Genomic DNA, 18,056 nt, shown 5'->3' on the forward strand with positions numbered 1-18,056 from the left:
TAGCGTTGGGATGACCACAGGGTTCTGTGTTTCTTGGCTTTTATCTTGCCAAACGGATTGTAAATGCTCCCGAGTCACCTTCTCTTTTTTTGTGTCCCTGGCAAAGCCTACCTCCACATGGGGTTCAGAGGAGCTCTCAAGTCTCTAGGAGTTTGAAAGACTTTTCTAGATCTTTCTCTGATGTGTGTGACCTAGGACAGGTAATTTAACCTTTCTTTCTTTAACCCCTTTCCTAAGTGGGGTTAGACATATTTGCTGCTTTCTCAGAGTACTATTATGAGTTTGAAATGAGCTAGAGTTTCATAAAACCATGCATTTTTAAAGTCTATTATATTTTAAAAATCACTTTTGCAACTATTATCTCAATAGAACTTTGAAAAGTTTAAAGGGCAGACCTTCAAGGCATCATTATTAACAAGCACAGCAATATAATCATTAGGCACATTATTGCCTGTTGATGTGATTTGGCTGCAGTTGGAAGGCAGCCTTAGGAAAAGCTAGGGGACTCTTGCTCTCAGGCCTTTAAATTTCTTACCTGGCTGGGATTTTCAGAATTATTAGTTTTTACTAATAATGATTTTTGGGTATCAGTTCTATTTTTGCCCATACCCTGAGATGTGAGGAAATCTGATTATACCCAAGAGACCAAGGACACTTCCAGGATTCTAGATAAAGGGTCTGACCAGTTATGCTCCTTTCTACATCTGGCCTGTTTTTCCCTCCCCTGTGGAGATGGAGGTGGTTTGTGCAAGATGTGATTCTGTCGAGAATGGGAATATCCCTTCAACTCAGCACACCCAAATCTCTAAACCTAAAGAGCTACATCTGTACCATGTCTGCTCAGGTCCTACTTGTTGCTTTGCATCTTATGAGCAAGACCTAATTGTGGGCTCCCAAAGAAAGCAGATGACTTGCCCAAGGTCTTTAAGAGGTCAGACAGCTACTAGCAGAGAAACAGAGCGAATGTTGACACCTAAAAGATACCTTGTCCTTCCGGTGTTACTAGAAGTGGGAAAAAGGCTTTGAGTGCAAACGCCTGGCTGTGCTACATACTGACCATGAGATGTGACAGGCCACTCAGCTCTGGCCTCTGATCCTTCATCTGTAACATCTTTGATGCCCCTAATGCCTAAGCTTGCTCATCCCTCAGCCCCACCCATGAGGCTGGCCAGTTAACTTCTGCCTTCAGGTCTCAGCTTAAATATCACCTCCCTAGGGAAGCATTTTCTCACCTCCTTTAGTTAACCTCCCTCCTGTTCTGTTTTGTTTTGTTTTAGCAGTACTTCCCACATGTTGTTATTTATTTATTTATTTATTTATTTATTTTTGAGACAGTGTCTCACTCTGTCGCCAGGCTGCAGTGCAATGGCGGGATCTCAGCTCACTGCAACCTCTACCTCCCAGGTTCAAGCGATTCTCCCACCTCGGCTTCCTGAGTAGCGGGGATTACAGGCACGCACCACCATGCCAGGCTAATATTTGTATTTTTAGTAGAGATGGGGTTTCACCATGTTGGCCAGGCTGGTCTCAAACTCTGACCTCAGGTGATCTGCCCGCCTTGGCCTCCCAAAGTGCTGGGATTACAGGCATGAGCCACGGTGACCAGCCCCACATGTCATAATTTATTTGCTTATCATCTGTCACCTTTGCTGCCCCCTAGTATGTAAGCTTCATGAAGGCAGGGACCATGCATTACATGGTTACTGCCATATCCTCAGGGTTTGGGGCAGTGCCTACACACAGGAGGTGCTCCTTAAATGTTTGTTAAGTGAAATAATCTGAGGTTGTCAGGTCTTTGTCTTCAACGTTATTATTTCTTATATTTGTTCAGTGCTTAATTTTTTTTCAAAGCTCTTGATGTAGATTGAAGCTTTTGTCATTTTTGTCATATAGATGAAACAACTGAGGCACAAAAATGTGATCACAAAACCAGAGAGTGGCAGTGCCTACCTGAACAGCTCCCAGACCCAGACTCTTTCCACAGACCCATGCTGTCTCTCTTGGCACCTTATTTTTCTGTCGTGGTGATGTTATTGTTTGTCTTATTTGGCAATGTTTACACCGGAGGAGTAGAGGCCATTGTGTGTTGGTGGCGTCTGGAAATACACAAGAGAGTCCCAGGAGAATGCCACTGTCGGTTCTTACCACAATTAGCAATTGTCAGGTCAGGGGCAGTGATTGGGTCGGTGTCACTCTCTACATGGCTGGCTCTGCGTGTTGAAACACCACTGCCTGTACCTCCACAGATGCCAAAGGGAGTGTGGGTCCTAGGACTACAGCCCCATTTCTACCCAGCCCTGGCTATCTCTCCACTCAGATCTAGGTCCTTTCTGTTCAGGAAAACGTCCTGTTTGTGTAGCCTGCTAGACAGCAAAGGCAAGTGCCAATCAGCTGGATGATCTCTCTGGGCCTCAGTTTCCCCATCTTCACAATGGACTAGTAAGTGGGAACCAGTCAAAATTGGCTCAGAGATCCCCAATAGGGTTCTAGCTCCATTGTGAAATAAATTTCAAGTGGAGCCTCGTCCTGACTCCTGTTTTCACATGCTCCCTTAGAGGGAAGGAAGGTGGACGATTAAAGATGATTGGTCGGGAGCTGGAGGAAGGAACTCCCCATTCTCCAAGAGGAGGTTCTGTTGGAATAGAGGGGCAGAGACTTGGAAGTCGCTGTTGGGCATGGCCCAACCCACTTCCATGACAGCAGCAAGACCACCACCCTCAAGAAGGAGGTGGGCTGGGGTACGAGAAGGTGGGCTGCCCAGTGGTTTCTACAAAAAGGGATAGTTGTGCTTGCAGGAGGGGTAGTGTCTCCATCTCCTGATGCCAGGGAGAAGGAGGCAGGCTGCTGGGGTGACGGAGAGCACCCTCAACTAGGTCACACTGCACTCCCTCTGTGCCTCAGTTTCCACTTCTGTTAGATGGCTGATATGATCTCTGCCCTGCCAGTTGGATTGGGGCTTCCAAAATATCAACTACTGCAAAAGAAGAGGTTGTGGCCACTGTGACTCATATACATGTACATGAACGTATCTGAAGTTTTCAGGGCTGATACTGATGTGAGGCAACCCATGCAGGCAACCCGGAGGAACTGTGTCCCTCACTCTGAGACAGTGAGAACGGACTGAGCCGGAAAGCTGATGGCCGTGAGAGGAGCAGGTTTGAAAATCACTGAATGAAGTCATGTTGTACAGAGGGGGCGGGGGTGCATACTGTGGGACGGAGGTGAGTCACAGTGCATAAGTGTTGGGGAGTCACCTTGAACTTGGGCCAGAAGAGTAGAAATATTGAGACTTGGGTTTATCTGCCTCACATCAGGTACATCAAGTTCTGGATGGCTGCCCACTGGCCAGAGACATGAGGTGGACGGCTCCCTTTTGCTGCCCTGGGAAGGCCTTCTGCTGGCTTCGGCCCCACTGAGCAAAGTCTGCTTGTTCACTGGAGTTCACACAGACTCCTTGCCAGGCCTGCCCAGAATCCTGTCTCCTCTGACTTCCTGTGCTCTTGCATAATATTTCCTTGCTCCCTGAATGGCTGGCCCCAGTGCAGGAGCAGCTCACTCACACTGCTGGACCGAGGGCAGGATGTAGAGGGAGGGCAGGGATCTGCAAACGTCACCCAGGGGTGCTCTGGGCTCTGAGGGTGGAGGGCAAGAGGGGCAGAGCCCCCTCAAATTCTTTGGAAGATTATAGCACAAGGGGAGTTGGGAAGGCCCTGGGACCATGTGCACACACATCTATCTCCATGAATTGTCTCTCCTGTAAAATTATTTTTAAAGTTGCTAAGTTGTTTTCTTCTGATTATAAAAAATATACATGTTCCCCATAAAAAGTCATAGTAAAAGAAGGCATGGAGATAAAAATAAAAATCACCAAAATTCCATCACCCAGAGATAACCACTGTTAACTCTTTGGTGAACATACTTTTCTCTATATCATGAATATTGATATATAATTACAGAATACGGGCATACTTCTAAGATATTGTAGGTTCGTTCCAGGCCACTACAGTAAAGTGAATATCACAATAAAACGAGTCACATGATTTTTTTTTGTTTCCTCGTGCATATGAAAGTTATGTTTATATTTTAGCATTATGTCTAAAAAACAATGTACATACCCTTTTTTTTTTTCTTTTTGAGACACAGTTTCACTCCGTTGCACAGACTGGAGTGCAATGGGGCAATCTTAGCTCACTGCAACTTCCGCCTCCTGGGTTCAAGCAATTCTGGTGCCTCAGCACCCCCGAGTAGCTGGGATTTACAGACATGTGCTGCCACACCCAGCTAATTTTTGTGTTTTTAGTAGAGATGGGGTTTTGCCATGTTGGCCAGGCTGGTCTCGAACTACTGGCCTCAAATGATCTGCCTGCCTCAGCCTCCCAAAGTGTTGGGATTACAGGCATGAGCCACCGCACCTGGCCAACAATGTCTATACCTTAATTTAAAAATATTTTATTGCTAAAAGAAATGCTAACAATCATCTGAGCCTTCAGTGAGTCATAATCTTCTTACTGGGAGAGGTTCTTGCCTCCATATCGGTGGCTGCAGAACTGATTAGTGTGACGGTTGCTGAAGGTTGGGGTGGCTGTGGCAATTCCTTGAAATCAGACAAGAATGAAGTTTTTTACATCAATAGAGTCTTCTTTTCAGGAAAGACTCTGCAGCATGTGATACTGTCTGATAGCATTTTACCCACAGTAAAACTTCCTTCATAATTGGTGTCAATCCTCTCAAACCCTGCCACTGCTTTATCAACTTAGTTGATGTAATATTCTAAATCCTTTGTTGTCATTTCCACAGTGTTCACACCATCTTTACCAGGAGCAAATTCCATCTTGAGAAGCCACTTTTCTTTTCTCATCTGTAAGAAGCTCTGACTCATCTGTTCAAGTTTTATCATGAGGTTGCAACAGTTCAGTCACATCTTCAGGCTCCACTTCTAGTTTTCTTGCTATTTCTTCCACATCTGCAGTTACTTCCTCCACTAAAGTCTTGAACCCCTCAAAGTCATCCGTGAGGTTTGGAATTAACTTCTTCCAGACTCCTGTTACTGCTGATATTTTGACATCCTCCCACAAATTACAAATGCTGTTAATGGTATCTAGAATGGTGAACTCTTTTCAGGTGGTTTTCAATTTACTTTGCCCAGATTCATCTAGGAATCACTATCTATGGCAGCTATAGCCTTACAAAATTTCTTGAATAAGACTTGGAAGTCAGAATTACTCCTTGATCCATGGGCTTCAGAATGGATCTTGTGTTAGCAGGCATGAAAACAACATTAATTTTGTGCGTCTCCATCAGGGCTCTTGAGTAACTAGGTGCATTGACAACGAGCACATAAACATATGTGCTGTCATCCAGGTTTTGTTGTTCCACTGATAGAGCACCAATAAAGTAGATTTGGCATAATTTTTAAGAACCCTAGGACTTACAGAATGGTAAATGATAAGTGGCTTCAGCTTAAACTCACCAGCTGCATTAGTCCCTAGTAAGAGAGTCAGCCTGTCCTTTGAAACTAGGGATTGACTTCTCCCCTCTTGCAGTGAAAGTCCTAGATGGCATGTTCATCCAGCATAAGGCTCTTTCATCTACACTGAAAATCTGTTTAGTGTAGCCACCTTCATCAATGATCTTAGCTAGATCTTCTAAATAACTGGCTGCCGCTTATGTATCAGCACTTGCTCTTTCACCTTGCATTTTTATGTTATGGAGATGTCTTCTTTCCTTAAATGTGACGAACCAACCTCTGCTAGCTTCATACTTTTCTTAATGCAGCTTCCTTACCTTGCTCTGCCTTCCTAGAATTGAAGAGAGTTAGGGCCTTGCTCTGGATTAGACTTTGGCTTAAGGGAATATTATGCCTGGTTTGATCTTCTCACTAAGCTTAATCATTCCTTAACTTTTGATTTAAAGTGAGAGATGTGACTCTTCCTTTCATTCGAACACATAGAGCCCATTGTAGAGTTATTAAAATTGGTCTAATTTCAATATTGTTGTGTCTCAGGGAATAGGAAGGATTGGGGAGGGGGAGAGAGAGATACACACACACACACACAAACACACACACGCACACAGAGGAACAATCACTGGACCAGTCAGAACACACACAACATTTATTAAGATCACTGTCTTATATGGGTGCAGTTTATGCCTAAAAACAATTACGGTGGTAACATCAAAGATCACTGATCGCAGATCATTATAATAATAGCTATAATAATGAAAGTTTGAAATATTGCAAGAATGACCAAAATGTGGCACAGATATGAAGTGAGCACATACTATTGGAAAAATGGCATGGATAAACTTGCCTGACAAACCTTCAATTTGTAAAAAGTGCAATATCTGCAAAGTGCAATAAAGTAAGGCATAATAAAACAAGGCATGCCTGTGTTTCTTAACCATTTAACACGTGTAAAACTGTGCTACCATTTTTATTAAGTTCCCATATTGTTTTTGTGTTGCTGAGAAAGTTTTTGAGTGTTGTACCCTAACCTCTTCTTTCCCGTAAGCTCTGTGGTTTTTAGTTTTGCATAGTGTGGTGATTTTTAGGAGCTCATATGCCATGTTGTAGCAGAACTACTTGTAAATTCACATGACGTGTCTTCCCTAAATTCAACATTAATTATTAGTTATTAATAGTATTAATTGTGAAGCACAATAAAATGAGGTATGCCTGCATTATCATGTTACATGCTATTGTGAAATGCATTTTCTATATAGCAATATATCAGAACTATCTCTTGCTACTAAGTTACAAAGATTTAATACATAGTTGTATTAAGTTCCACTTATAGAGGTATCATAGTGAAACCCTTATTCATTGACATGTCCAGGCTCAGAAAACAAGCTATAACCAGCCCAAGCTTATTTTCAGACCTGAAAAGCAGCATCTTTTCTATATTTCTGACCAATGTGTTATCTGAAAAGCGGCATCTTTTCTATATTTCTGACCAGTGTGTTAGCTATGGTGCCCCAGAAATAGCTGCAAAATAAAAGGTTAAGTGCCATGTAGGCCTTTCTCTAGGCTTAGAATAATTCACTTGATTACATAGGAAGAGGCTGCAATGATGACAGCTTCCAGGGCTGGGCCAGACCTTACCCTGGGTAAAATGATCCTCCAGTGTGGCCCATATGTATGCTTTGAGCCAGGAGCTGCTAGCTGGGAGAACAAGTTTTTCTTCAGTGGTATTCCTGTGACCAAGATTTCAAATAAGCTCCATTTTTAATTTTAATTGGTTATTGTCCTCCTGAAATTTTATGACACAATCTATATCTTTAAAAAGGCACTCTTTCTTCTTTATACAGTTGTTTTCATGATGTTAAAAACTTTAAAGAAAGTATCATTCAGATTTGCTGACAGTTGGAAGATTATTTTAAAAATCCAACTAGTTTAGCTGAAAAAGGTGCTATCAGTGTTTCTGTCTCATCCTTGGAAATTGTATATTTTTAAGGCTTGTGATTAGCTTTTTCTCCTCCATTGCTGATCGTGGTTGGAAGTGTGGCATAGATTTACAGTAAACTTTGATATAATGGTGATTCCTCTTTGTTTTGGAGCCAGGTGCCTGCGGTATTTGCTTATTTTCTTTGATTCATTTTTAAATTGAGTTGAATGTTTGATTTAATCAGAAGTGATAGTATGAGGCTGGGGATGATTGCTTGTGGTTGGGAATTGCTTGTAAAGTTTACTGTTTAGTCAAGACAAATCGTTTCCTAAAGCTCTCTTTTTCAGATTTCTTGTCTATGTGGGAAAGCATGATAATGCCAGTCAGTTTAAACATATTTAAGAGTTCCCAGGCATCTTCGAACAGAAAAATTTGCAACAAAATTTGGCAACGGCAGAATGCGAGGATTTTTGCCTCATTTTGTTTATAGTTGTCTGCTCTTCAGGCAAATGATCTATTACAACAATCTGAATAATTACAGTCTCTCCTTCAATTTATTCACCCTGGACTCCTTTTTCTAGAATTACTGGCCAGACTCTTATTACACCAAATTCCTTGACTCTATTCCCGAGGAATGAGGATGGGACTAGGAGTAAAAGTTAAAGAGAGAAACTAATTGTTGCCTGCTTTTCAAAGTTTTCGGTGTGTGGAAATTTGTTGATTTTGTAATTGCTCCCTTAGTTGGTCATTACCCGATTCTGGTAGGGTACTTGCCATGTGTACACATTTAGGGAGTGCAAAGGGACAGTAAGACTTAATTGGTCCTGGGAATTGTTGAACAGGACTTTGTTGAAATGGCTACTTCTGTACAATGCACATGGAGCAGCTGTTGGCATAGCAACTCCTACGTGGAAAAGTGCACGCCGCTTGCAGATGACTTTTGCAGTGCTCAGTGTTAATTTGATAAATGGCTTTTCTAATAGCAGTTTGTGGGCTAATGGAAAGATCGAAGCAAACCTTCATTAACGGAAAGGAGAATAGGGATTTTGAAGCCACTGGGTGAACACACTGGACAGCCAGAGCTAAATCTCCATTTTCAGCTGTGTCTCTTTTTCACAGCAGATATGCTTGGAGTGTGGCAGATGAAAGTAAATTAAGAAAACTGTCTGCCCGTGCCATTATCATCTTAGATTTTAAGCAGGGAGAGGTTTTGGAGTCCTTTCTATTCAAGATACTTAACTTTGTGTGAGAGTTTAGTTTAAGAGTACTGTAGAAGCTTTGCATTGTGTTGTCGTTTTCCTTTGCTGGTAGTGGTGGGGTTAAGGTGGTTAAATCGTTTTTTATTGTGGTAAAATATACATAACAAAAAATGTTTACCATTTTAACTATTTTTAAGCCTGCAATTCAATGGCATTAAGTACGTTCATATTGTTGGGCTACAAGCACCACTGCTCAAGAACTTTTTCATCATCTCAAATGGAAACTCTGTACTCATTAAATAATAACTCTTTATTCCCCACATGCTCCAATCCCCGATAATCACTATTCTACTTTCTCTATGAATATGACTATTCCAAGTAGATTGTATATATAGACATATAAAGTATTTGTCCTTTTATGTCTGGCTTATTTCACTTAGCATAATGTTTTCAAGGTTCATCCAAGTTACAACATGTATTCAAAGTTTTATTTCTTTTTAAGGCCGAATAATATCCTATTGTGTGTAGACACTATATTTTGTTTATCTGGTCTTCTGTCAAGGGACATTTGAGTTGTTTCCACCTTTGGGTGTTGTGAATCATGGTGAACATGGTGTACAATTTGAGTCCCTGCTTTCAGTTTTTTTGGATATAGACCTAGAAGTGGAATTTCTGGATCATATGGTAATTCTGTGTTTATTTTTTTCAAAAACTGCTGTACTGTCTTCCATAGCAGCCATACCATTGTACATTTTCACGAGCAATGCATAAGAGTTCCAGTTTCTTCATTTCCCTGCTAACACTTGTTATTTTCTGTTTTTTGTTTTGTTTTGTTTTTGTTTTTAGATATCAGCCATCCTAGTGGGTGTGAAGTGGTATCTCATTGTGGCTTTGATTTACATTTTCCTAATGATCAGTGATTTGTCTTTATAAACATATTGCCTGTTCCTTGCCCCCCACCCCACCCCCGCACCCCCACAACAGCCTGTGTGGGAATGGAAATCACTGCCCCATTGTTTACACCTGTGAGGCAAACAAAGACTATCAACATAATGATATTTGGGAGTGAAAGGTGTCAGGGAGAGAAGGATGAAGGCACCATAAGGTTATTATATATAATAACTGGCATATAGGATATAGTACAGGCACCTCAGTAGACCTATTTTCAGTTCGTGCTGTGGAGCATGTGAAACTATTTTAAATAGAGGCCTTTGGGACTTAAGTAACTTCAACTCTCTGAATGAGGTTTAAGGCAAGCTTGCTGTGGGCTGGATCTATCCTGTATAATCCCTACTGATTTGGGTGATGTATAGGTACCCTTCCCTGAAATTCTTCCCTGAGAATAATTATTGTTGTCATCTACTACGGAATCCTGGGCCCACTTTCTTCCTTCTTCTTGGGGGAGGAAATCTCCCAGACATCTTGCCAAGCATTTGCTTAAGTCTTTGAACCGCTGCACTAGCTAATTTCTCCACCTGAAACAATATACAAACCCCTCCTCTTCTCCACCCGCTAGGTTCTTATGCTGGCAGCTCATATTTTTACAAGAAAAAGAAGTTAGAATGTATTGAGCACCTGCTATAAGCCTGGCACTTTGCTAGTCACTGTGTGGCAGATGACTACATCAGTCATGACTGATAAAACATAACTTCTATCCTTGTAAGTGCCGCAGGACTTATTTGTGACTCTTAACAACAGGGGTTCCAAACCTTAGTGTGCATCAGAACTGCCTGGGGCTTATTAAAACTCAGATTACTGGACCTCATCCCTAGAATTTCTTACTCGGCCCGCAGGTCTGAGGTGGAGCCTGAGAGTGTGCATTTCTAACAAGTTCCTAGATGATGATGATGTTGCTCATCCCTGGACCACACTATGAGAACCACTGCTTTCCATCAAGCCTGTGAAATAGATATTATTCCCATTTATAGATGAGGAGCTGAGATGTAGAGAGGCCAAATGACTTGCCTCAGTTCTTGCACACAGAGCCAGAGCCCAGATTTGAAGCTGAGAGGCCTCACTCCAAAGCTTCTGCTGTTTCCATTATATCAGGGATGGCAAAGGCATAGATACCACCTGTGCTTCCCTCACTTAGTCCACCCCCACGACAGGCAATATTAATCAATCACAGCACCTCTGAGCCCAGAGATGTCCTCGGAATCTTTCACACACTGCTCCTGACAGCCAAACCTACCCGTCAGTGGGAGCTGAAGTTTGCAATTTCTGTACTAACCTGTATGGCCTTTCTAAAATGGAGACATTACCAAGGAATCAATCTATTAACAGCTGAAAACAAACCTTGTGTGAGCTCCAGTCTTATCTGCCTAGGAGGGAAGAGCGTGGTAGATTGCAGGCTGTGTGAAGCACAGCACTCCCATGGCGACCTCACGGATCATAACTAGAGTCTACACTCAGCACACAGGCAACACAGGGCCGTTACCCTTGAAAAGTGTAAAAATCTAGACGAAGTTAATGAGGAGACTTTTTTTTTAAGCTGCTATATTTTGTCTAATTCATATATGCTACATTTTATTCTAAAAATAGTTATTCTACTCTTTGGCACTAAGTTTGGTGATGGATATAAAATAGTGATCAATAAACAGTTGTTAAGAAAGGAAAAATAAAGTAGGTGCCAAAGGCAACTGTGTCCACACCTGATGAGGTCTTTTAACAAATGGATGGGAGGAATAAACAAGACTGAATTATGTTTTTATATATCTTGCGCACCCAACAGTTCTTAGCAAGGCCCGTGGGCAGTAGATGCCCAATAAATATTTATCATACGGAACTACAAATCTTGCTTGTGAAAGTACAAAGCATAGGTGTATCCTGGAGGTAGGGAACAGTAACCCTGAGAGCAGACTGGTTTAAGGCCATCTCTGGCCAAACCAAAACACATTACAGAGGCTCTCTGAGTCCCAAAGTCATCCACAGATTGATGTCTTGCTTCTCTTCTTATGGCATAAGAGACTGGTAGAAAACTGACCAAACTCATCAAGAAAGTAATATTTTTTTTTCCTCTGAAAATTGTGAATTGTATCAGATATTGCCACTATTATGCCCCTAGGTCACTTGCTCATCTGTTTTCCACAGGGAAGCCAAAACAGAATTTTGCAAAGATATACATGAGTAATCAAAGGAAACTGACTGTATTGGGTGTGATTCTCCTGTCTTCTGAAATAACCCACCATGATCTTTTGCGTGTTTCTGCCAGCCCATACAATGTCTGGTCTCACCACCAACAACAAATATTTAGTCTATGGCTACTGTGTATATAGGGCAACCTCTTGTCTCATTTGCTGTTTGTGCAGCTTAAAAGCAAGGGCAGGGTGAATTATGGTTTTTTTGTTTGTTTGTTTTTGAGACGGAGTCTCGTTCTGTAGCCCAGGCTGGAGTGCGGTGGTGCGATCTTGGCTCACTGCAAGCTCCGCCTTCTGGGTTCATGCCATTCTCCTTCCTCACCCTCCTGAGTAGCTGGGACTACAGGCACCCGCCACCACGCCTGGCTAATTTTTTTGTATTTTTAGTAGAAACAGAGTTTCACCACGTTAGCCAGGATGGTCTCGATCTTCTGACCTTGTGATCTGCCCACCTCGGCCTCCCAAGGTGCTAGGATTACAGGTGTGAGCCACTGCGCCCAGCCCTAATTATGTTTTTATATGAATTGCACACCCCACAGTTCTTAGCAAGGCCCATGGGCAATAGATGCCCAATAAATATTTATCATCCAAAACTACAAATCTTGCTTGTGAAAATACAAAGCATAGGTGCATGCTGGAGGTAGGGAACAGTAACCCTGAGAACAGACTGGTTTAAGGCCATCTCTGGCCAAACCAAGACACAGTTAAAGGGAGCATTTATGTCCCTGTTTGGCTGTGATATGCCCTATAGACTGGGGCAAGGCTGTGGCAGCCTGGCCAGGATGAAAACGCTCATCCTTGGGCTGCCCCTAGATGCCAAACTTTTTCCGTACAAGTTTTCAAGGCACATTATTAAAAGCAGTTACGTAAGTGGGGAACTAACTGCACCTTATAAAAGGCTTAACAGGAGAGACAGAGTCCTCCATTTGGAGCTGTTTTGTTAAATGTTGAGAATAGAGAAGTCCAGAAGTGGTTGGTGTTTCTGCTCTACACTGAAAACGAATTGGGCTGGAGCCCATCTCACAGCCTGCCTTTCTTTCTTCTATCTCACCCAGCTTGGGCACAGGCTTTTGCTATACTGTTGGACTGGGCAGTTCCCCATTGATAGAGATGTTGTTTAATATTTAAGTATGTTGTGTAGCTCTTAACATCGAAAGAGAAGAAAAAAGGTCCAGTTTATCTTTAGGGTGAGCTGACCTTTCCAGATGGAGCAGGGAAATCTCCTGAGGACAGGACCCTGGGAGGAATCCACTTCCCTGCTTAAAAAGCATGGTGAGGAAGGTTCCCTTGGGCTTGTTGGATCCAGTACTCTCCAGTGGGCAGTGCTCTGTATGTTCTAGGTTAGAGTCTTAGATAATATGGGATTTTAAAACCAGTATTGTATTACATTAGAGTATTACTGCCCTTGGGAATTTTTTAGATAGTTCCTTTTGGGGAGAGAACTGTTTTGTCCTATCCATTGCAGATGGGAGCAAGAACATACAAAAGAGCATAAAGAAAAATTCTGCCGATGTGGGCATTTCCTTGAGGCTGAGGGACTAGGAGAGGCACCAAAGGGTGTCCTTCATTCATGGTAAAAGCCCTAATAGCCTCAGTGTTAGAATATCCTGTAGGCAGGCGAAGGATGACATGACTCACTTTGGTGGTGACCTCCTAGTAGTTCAACTGAGAATCCAGGCGGGATAAGATCAGTGCAGGGTAATTGTATGGTAGCTAGTCAACCTTTCCATTGCTTAGCCGGAGAATTCTGGCTTTTGTGCTGGTGATGTCAGGCAGGTGTTGGAGGAGGAGTTCCATGACCATTTTCTCTGTTCCTGCCAACAGGAAAGCTCCATTGGGACATACACGCTCACTTCCAGGGTGTTTTATATTCATCCATAGCTGCTGCATGGATAAAAAATTTGGCGAAAAACTTGAAATCCTATTACCATGATGATCATTAGAACTCATGTTAGGGCTTTTTGTTTTTAAAACAGGGACACAAAGAAGAAACAGAAGGCTGCCATATGCAAGGTTAGTGAAAGCCCCTTACCTTCACCCCATTTAAATCCTGAAGAGGGAAAGTAGCTAAGCTGTAGTGATCACTTCCTGCAAAGAAAACCATAATTATGGCGCCCAGTTATTCTTCATAAGGGGAAACCTTGGAATAGCATGGGTGCTATTTTGAATATTTGAGAAAACAGTGACATTCAATATGAAATGGAAATGATTCTGTGCTGCTGGGATTGGATCAGTTCCTTCTAGGCATCAGTTGCCCCTGGGGATAGCCTAGTTCTCCCTCCTGTGTGAATTTGGGAAACACTAGAATCTTGTAGTTGTTGCTGACTCTCCCACCAGCAGGGAACCAACTTATGCTCTTGGGAGAAGCAGGGGGAGTGGGGAATCTGCTTTTCTCTTTAAGCTTCCAATCTCAACTGCCTAATAACAAGGGAATTCGACTATCAAGATTTCCTGGAGTGGCTTAAGTATGGGCGCCAGGATGCAGTCTTCTGTACACAGTGAAAGAAAACGGGGGTAAAAACCATGATGAATAGGTGCAGAGAGGAGTGGCTAGATCACCTGCCTGGGGGATGAGCCTCCCACGTGACTGTAAGGTTGTGCAAGAATTGGGCAACATTTGGTCAGGGTGGAGAGGCCTTGACAAAGCATTTGTACTCCCACTAGATTCCTATCTCCTCCGTGGGGAAAAACAAGTATTTAAAGTTCTACACAGTGTTTTAAGAGGAAGAAATGGATTGCCTTACTACCCTAGCATACTTCATTTGTACATATTTGGAGTTCTATTCACTAAGCACCCACTGTAGGAAGGGCACTGGGCTGAAGATCCCAGAAAATTAAAGGAGACACCTTTGTTCCTGCCCATAGGAAATATAGTCTAGTGGGGGCCAGGAAGGGGTAAGACGAGCATACAGGTGATCATACTCAAGACAGGAGATAGTAAATACCCTGATATGGAAATAGGGAAAATGGTTCTAGGGGTTTTGGAGAGGAGAAGTGAGAGGGAGGCGGTAAGCCTGCAGGCCCTGGAGCCAGACTGCCTGGGTTCCAGTCCGAGATTTACCACCTATGAGTTGTGGTATCTTGGAGAAGTCACTTAAACACATTGTACCTCTGATTCTTCAACTGCAAAATGTAGGTCACTGTTGTACCTATGTCAGTAGATAATGGTTTACTGCCCATAAACATTGGTCTCAGCTTCAGGACCAGCAGGGGCCGTGCTGACCTTGAGCTAGTGACTTACAACCTCCAGGTCTCAGTTTCCTCATCTGTACAATGAAGAGATTAGACTGGATAAATGCTAACATTTTCTTTATTCTAAAGTGCCGTGATTTCATGGTTGAATATGTATTAAATGCCTGCTGTGTGCCCAATATTGTGTTGGCATAATGAAAAAGAGAAAAAGTAGGATATGTGGTCCCTGGCCTCAAGGAGCTATAATCTAAGTGAGGAGAGGACATTAATATACAGGAGAGTATTAGAGAATTAGAGAATATTAGAAATTAAAAGCTAGGTGGTATGGGCAGTGAGAACATAGGAATAGAGATTTTAGAATGGACCAGAGTAGTCAGGAGATTTGATAGTGACCTATCTAATGTTTAGAACCACAGAGACTTTAGACAGGAGCTCAGACTTGTTTACAAATCCCATGAATTCTGAAGCTTGGAACACTGCCATTAATATTTAAATTAAAGTTGAACTGCAGAAAAACAAAAGTTACCTATTTGGAATATAAGGTGGGACAAAGTTTATAAAACTCCATGTCTAAAACCGGTAGTGTGGATGGAAGCTATAAAGAGGCTCAAACCAGCTTCCCATATATCCTTGGATGACAATTCCATTAGAATATAGCCCCTGGCACAGAGTAGGCACACACAAAAATTCATCTGTTGAGTGACTTGTGGAAAAAGTGTTCTGCCCTGTTCAGCTTTGAACAGCTGTGGGCACCCTGGTGGTGGTCTCAGCCCCACCTCCAGAGGGCAGTGCACAGAGGAGGCCCCGCCAGAGCCCTCCTGCCAAGTCTTTGGGAAGAGCTTAATATTGCCTCATGCCTCCTGAGCCAGCCCTCTATCAAAGGTGAATTCTCTGCTCCCAAATGTTAACCTACCTCCGGGGGGGCTACACGTACTCCCTCCCCAGAATTGTCTGAACTTAGGTTTTGAGAAAACTTGGCAACAGCCTCAAATTTTTCTTCCAGTCTAACTATCCTATGGTCCCCAGAGTCCATATGCAGATCGGGCTGTTAGTGACCCTGGCTTACACAGGTAAAAAAGAGACTTAACAAAACTTGGCAGAGACTGCTAAGTGCCAAAAGAGTGGTGTAGACAGTAAGTGAGGTCACCCCGGCCAGGAAATTGGGGGCACCTCCTGGAAGGAGGGAGAGCTAGGAGCTTGAGTGGGTCTTGAAGAATGAGTAGAGGCCACGATGGCAGGTAAGACAGGTGGAGGCATTAAGTACTTCTGTCCCCATGACCAGTTCCCCCATACCACTCTTCGTTAACCAAACATGGGAGGTGGCAGGCCCATTTAGATCTGGTGCTTTATTCTAAGGGAGGAAATGAGATGAAAATGACAGATGAAGTGCAAGCTTGAACTCCCTGGCCTCAACCAGTCACTGAGAATGGCTGCCCATCCCCCAAACAGTCAGTGATGGCCTGGTTTGATGGGCCTGTTTATGACCTCCTGGCTTGAGAGCAGCAGACCACAAACCTTCACAGAGCTCTCTGTTGAATTTCCTTCCCAGTACAGAACCCAGAAGTCCTAGTTATAAATGTCACTACACTTTATTTATGTAGCATCCTCTGTGAAAACATGAGTATATATCATATCTACCATCAGAACGTACCTTCAGCAATCACTTAGAACAGTGGGGAGGACAGATGGGGTCTTCAAGGTTCAGAAAGGTGAAATGTACAATATCTTCCCATTGTAACTCTTCAGAGCAAATCAGAGGTGAAAATGTTCAGAACACAAGTCTGCCTTCCAGGCCAGTCTTCTAAGCACCTTTTTCTTCTCTTTCACATTTTACCCTTGTCTCATTCCCTGTTCCCTCCTCCTTTTTGTTCATAAAAAAAATTATTTTTTTCCAAATAAGCAAAATGGAGTCAAACTTTGCATCCTCAAAATGTATGAAGTAAACATTATTCCTAATGAGCCTCTGGGAAAGTGCTCACCTTTGAACTTGGCCAAGGATTATGCAGCAAAGAAAAAGTCTTAAGAACTTGATAGAGTGTTAGAGCTTCCTGGGTTTTTAAAGTCAAGTTGCATATTACATTTCTTTTCCTTAATAGGGGCATTTCCAGAAACCCTTCCTGGTTGAGTAGGCCAGTGTCTGAAAGTGAAGCGCTAGGATTGGTTACTGACTCTGGTTCAGGGATTGTCATCTGGGTGCGAGGCAACCACAGGGTAGGAGGCACCATTGCTAGAATGCTCTTTCTTTCCTAGGACTCAGCACCTATGCCGACAGTCCTTGCAAGACAGGAGGGGAACGTGTAGGCTATCCTATTTATGGTAAGGGGAGGCCTATGGAAAAACAGGAAGATGGTCAAGGGAAGCTGGCAGCAAAAAGGCAATGAGACCGAGGAGTTGTCCCTGTAAGATAAGCTCTTTTCCCCTTGGAGACCTTGCCTATTAATTGGCCTGTGCTCATCTCTATAGGCTTTCTATTAAAACACACACACGGCCAGGCGTGGTGGCTCGCGCCTGTAATCCCAGCACTTTAGGAGGCCGAGGCGGGTGGATCATGAGGTCAGGAGTCCGAGACTAGCCTGGCCGAGATAGTGAAACCCCGTCTCTACTAAAAATACACAATTTAGCCAGGTGCAGTGGTGGGCACCTGTAATCCCAGCTACTTGGGAGGCTGAGGCGGGAGAATCGCTTGAACCCGGGAGGCGGAAGTTGCAGTGAGCCGAGATCACACCACTGCACTCTGGGTGACAGAGCAAGACTCCATCTCAAAACAAGCAAACAGACAAACAAAACACACACACACATCCTTCTTAAAGACAAAAACACCTCTGGCTGTCTGCATAGCTTCTGCCTGCCTCTGTGGAATATTACACATTTTAAATTCCCCAACTATTGCCTCACAGCCAAGAAGTTCACTTATAGGCATTGAGATGAATCATTCACAGAATGACTTAAATCCAACTAAGAATGTGTAACTGCTGAACATTCTGATTGAGGTTCCAGACCGTTTGTGATGCCACATGTTTGTTGTAACAGGCAGAATCATCAGTAATACTTTGTTTCTCTTTTCTTGAAACTTTCCCTCCAAGTTTCCATCTTAATGCTTTAAATCATGACAGAATCAAACAAGCTCTGTGCCCTCTGCCCCT

General features: G+C 43.0%; 1 protein-coding gene across 2 annotated transcripts in view; it reads left to right on the plus strand.

Annotated features, from left to right (window-relative positions):
• The window catches only part of EPAS1 (endothelial PAS domain protein 1), an 89,291-nt gene that overhangs the window by 14,736 nt on the left and 56,499 nt on the right, over positions 1-18,056 (plus strand). Inside the window, exon 1 of one of the 2 annotated variants that reach the window (XM_011532698.3) lies at positions 1,305-13,734. The exons of the other annotated variant lie outside the window; for it this stretch is intronic. Within the exon in view, the coding sequence (XP_011531000.1) occupies positions 13,670-13,734 (65 nt within the window). The 5' untranslated portion in view covers positions 1,305-13,669. Of the gene's footprint in view, positions 1-1,304; positions 13,735-18,056 lie in introns of those variants that run through there. 2 annotated transcript variants of the gene reach the window in all.

The sequence above is a fragment of the Homo sapiens genome, chromosome 2, assembly GCF_000001405.40.
Source record: "Homo sapiens chromosome 2, GRCh38.p14 Primary Assembly".
NCBI classification, from domain to species: Eukaryota; Metazoa; Chordata; class Mammalia; order Primates; family Hominidae; genus Homo; species Homo sapiens.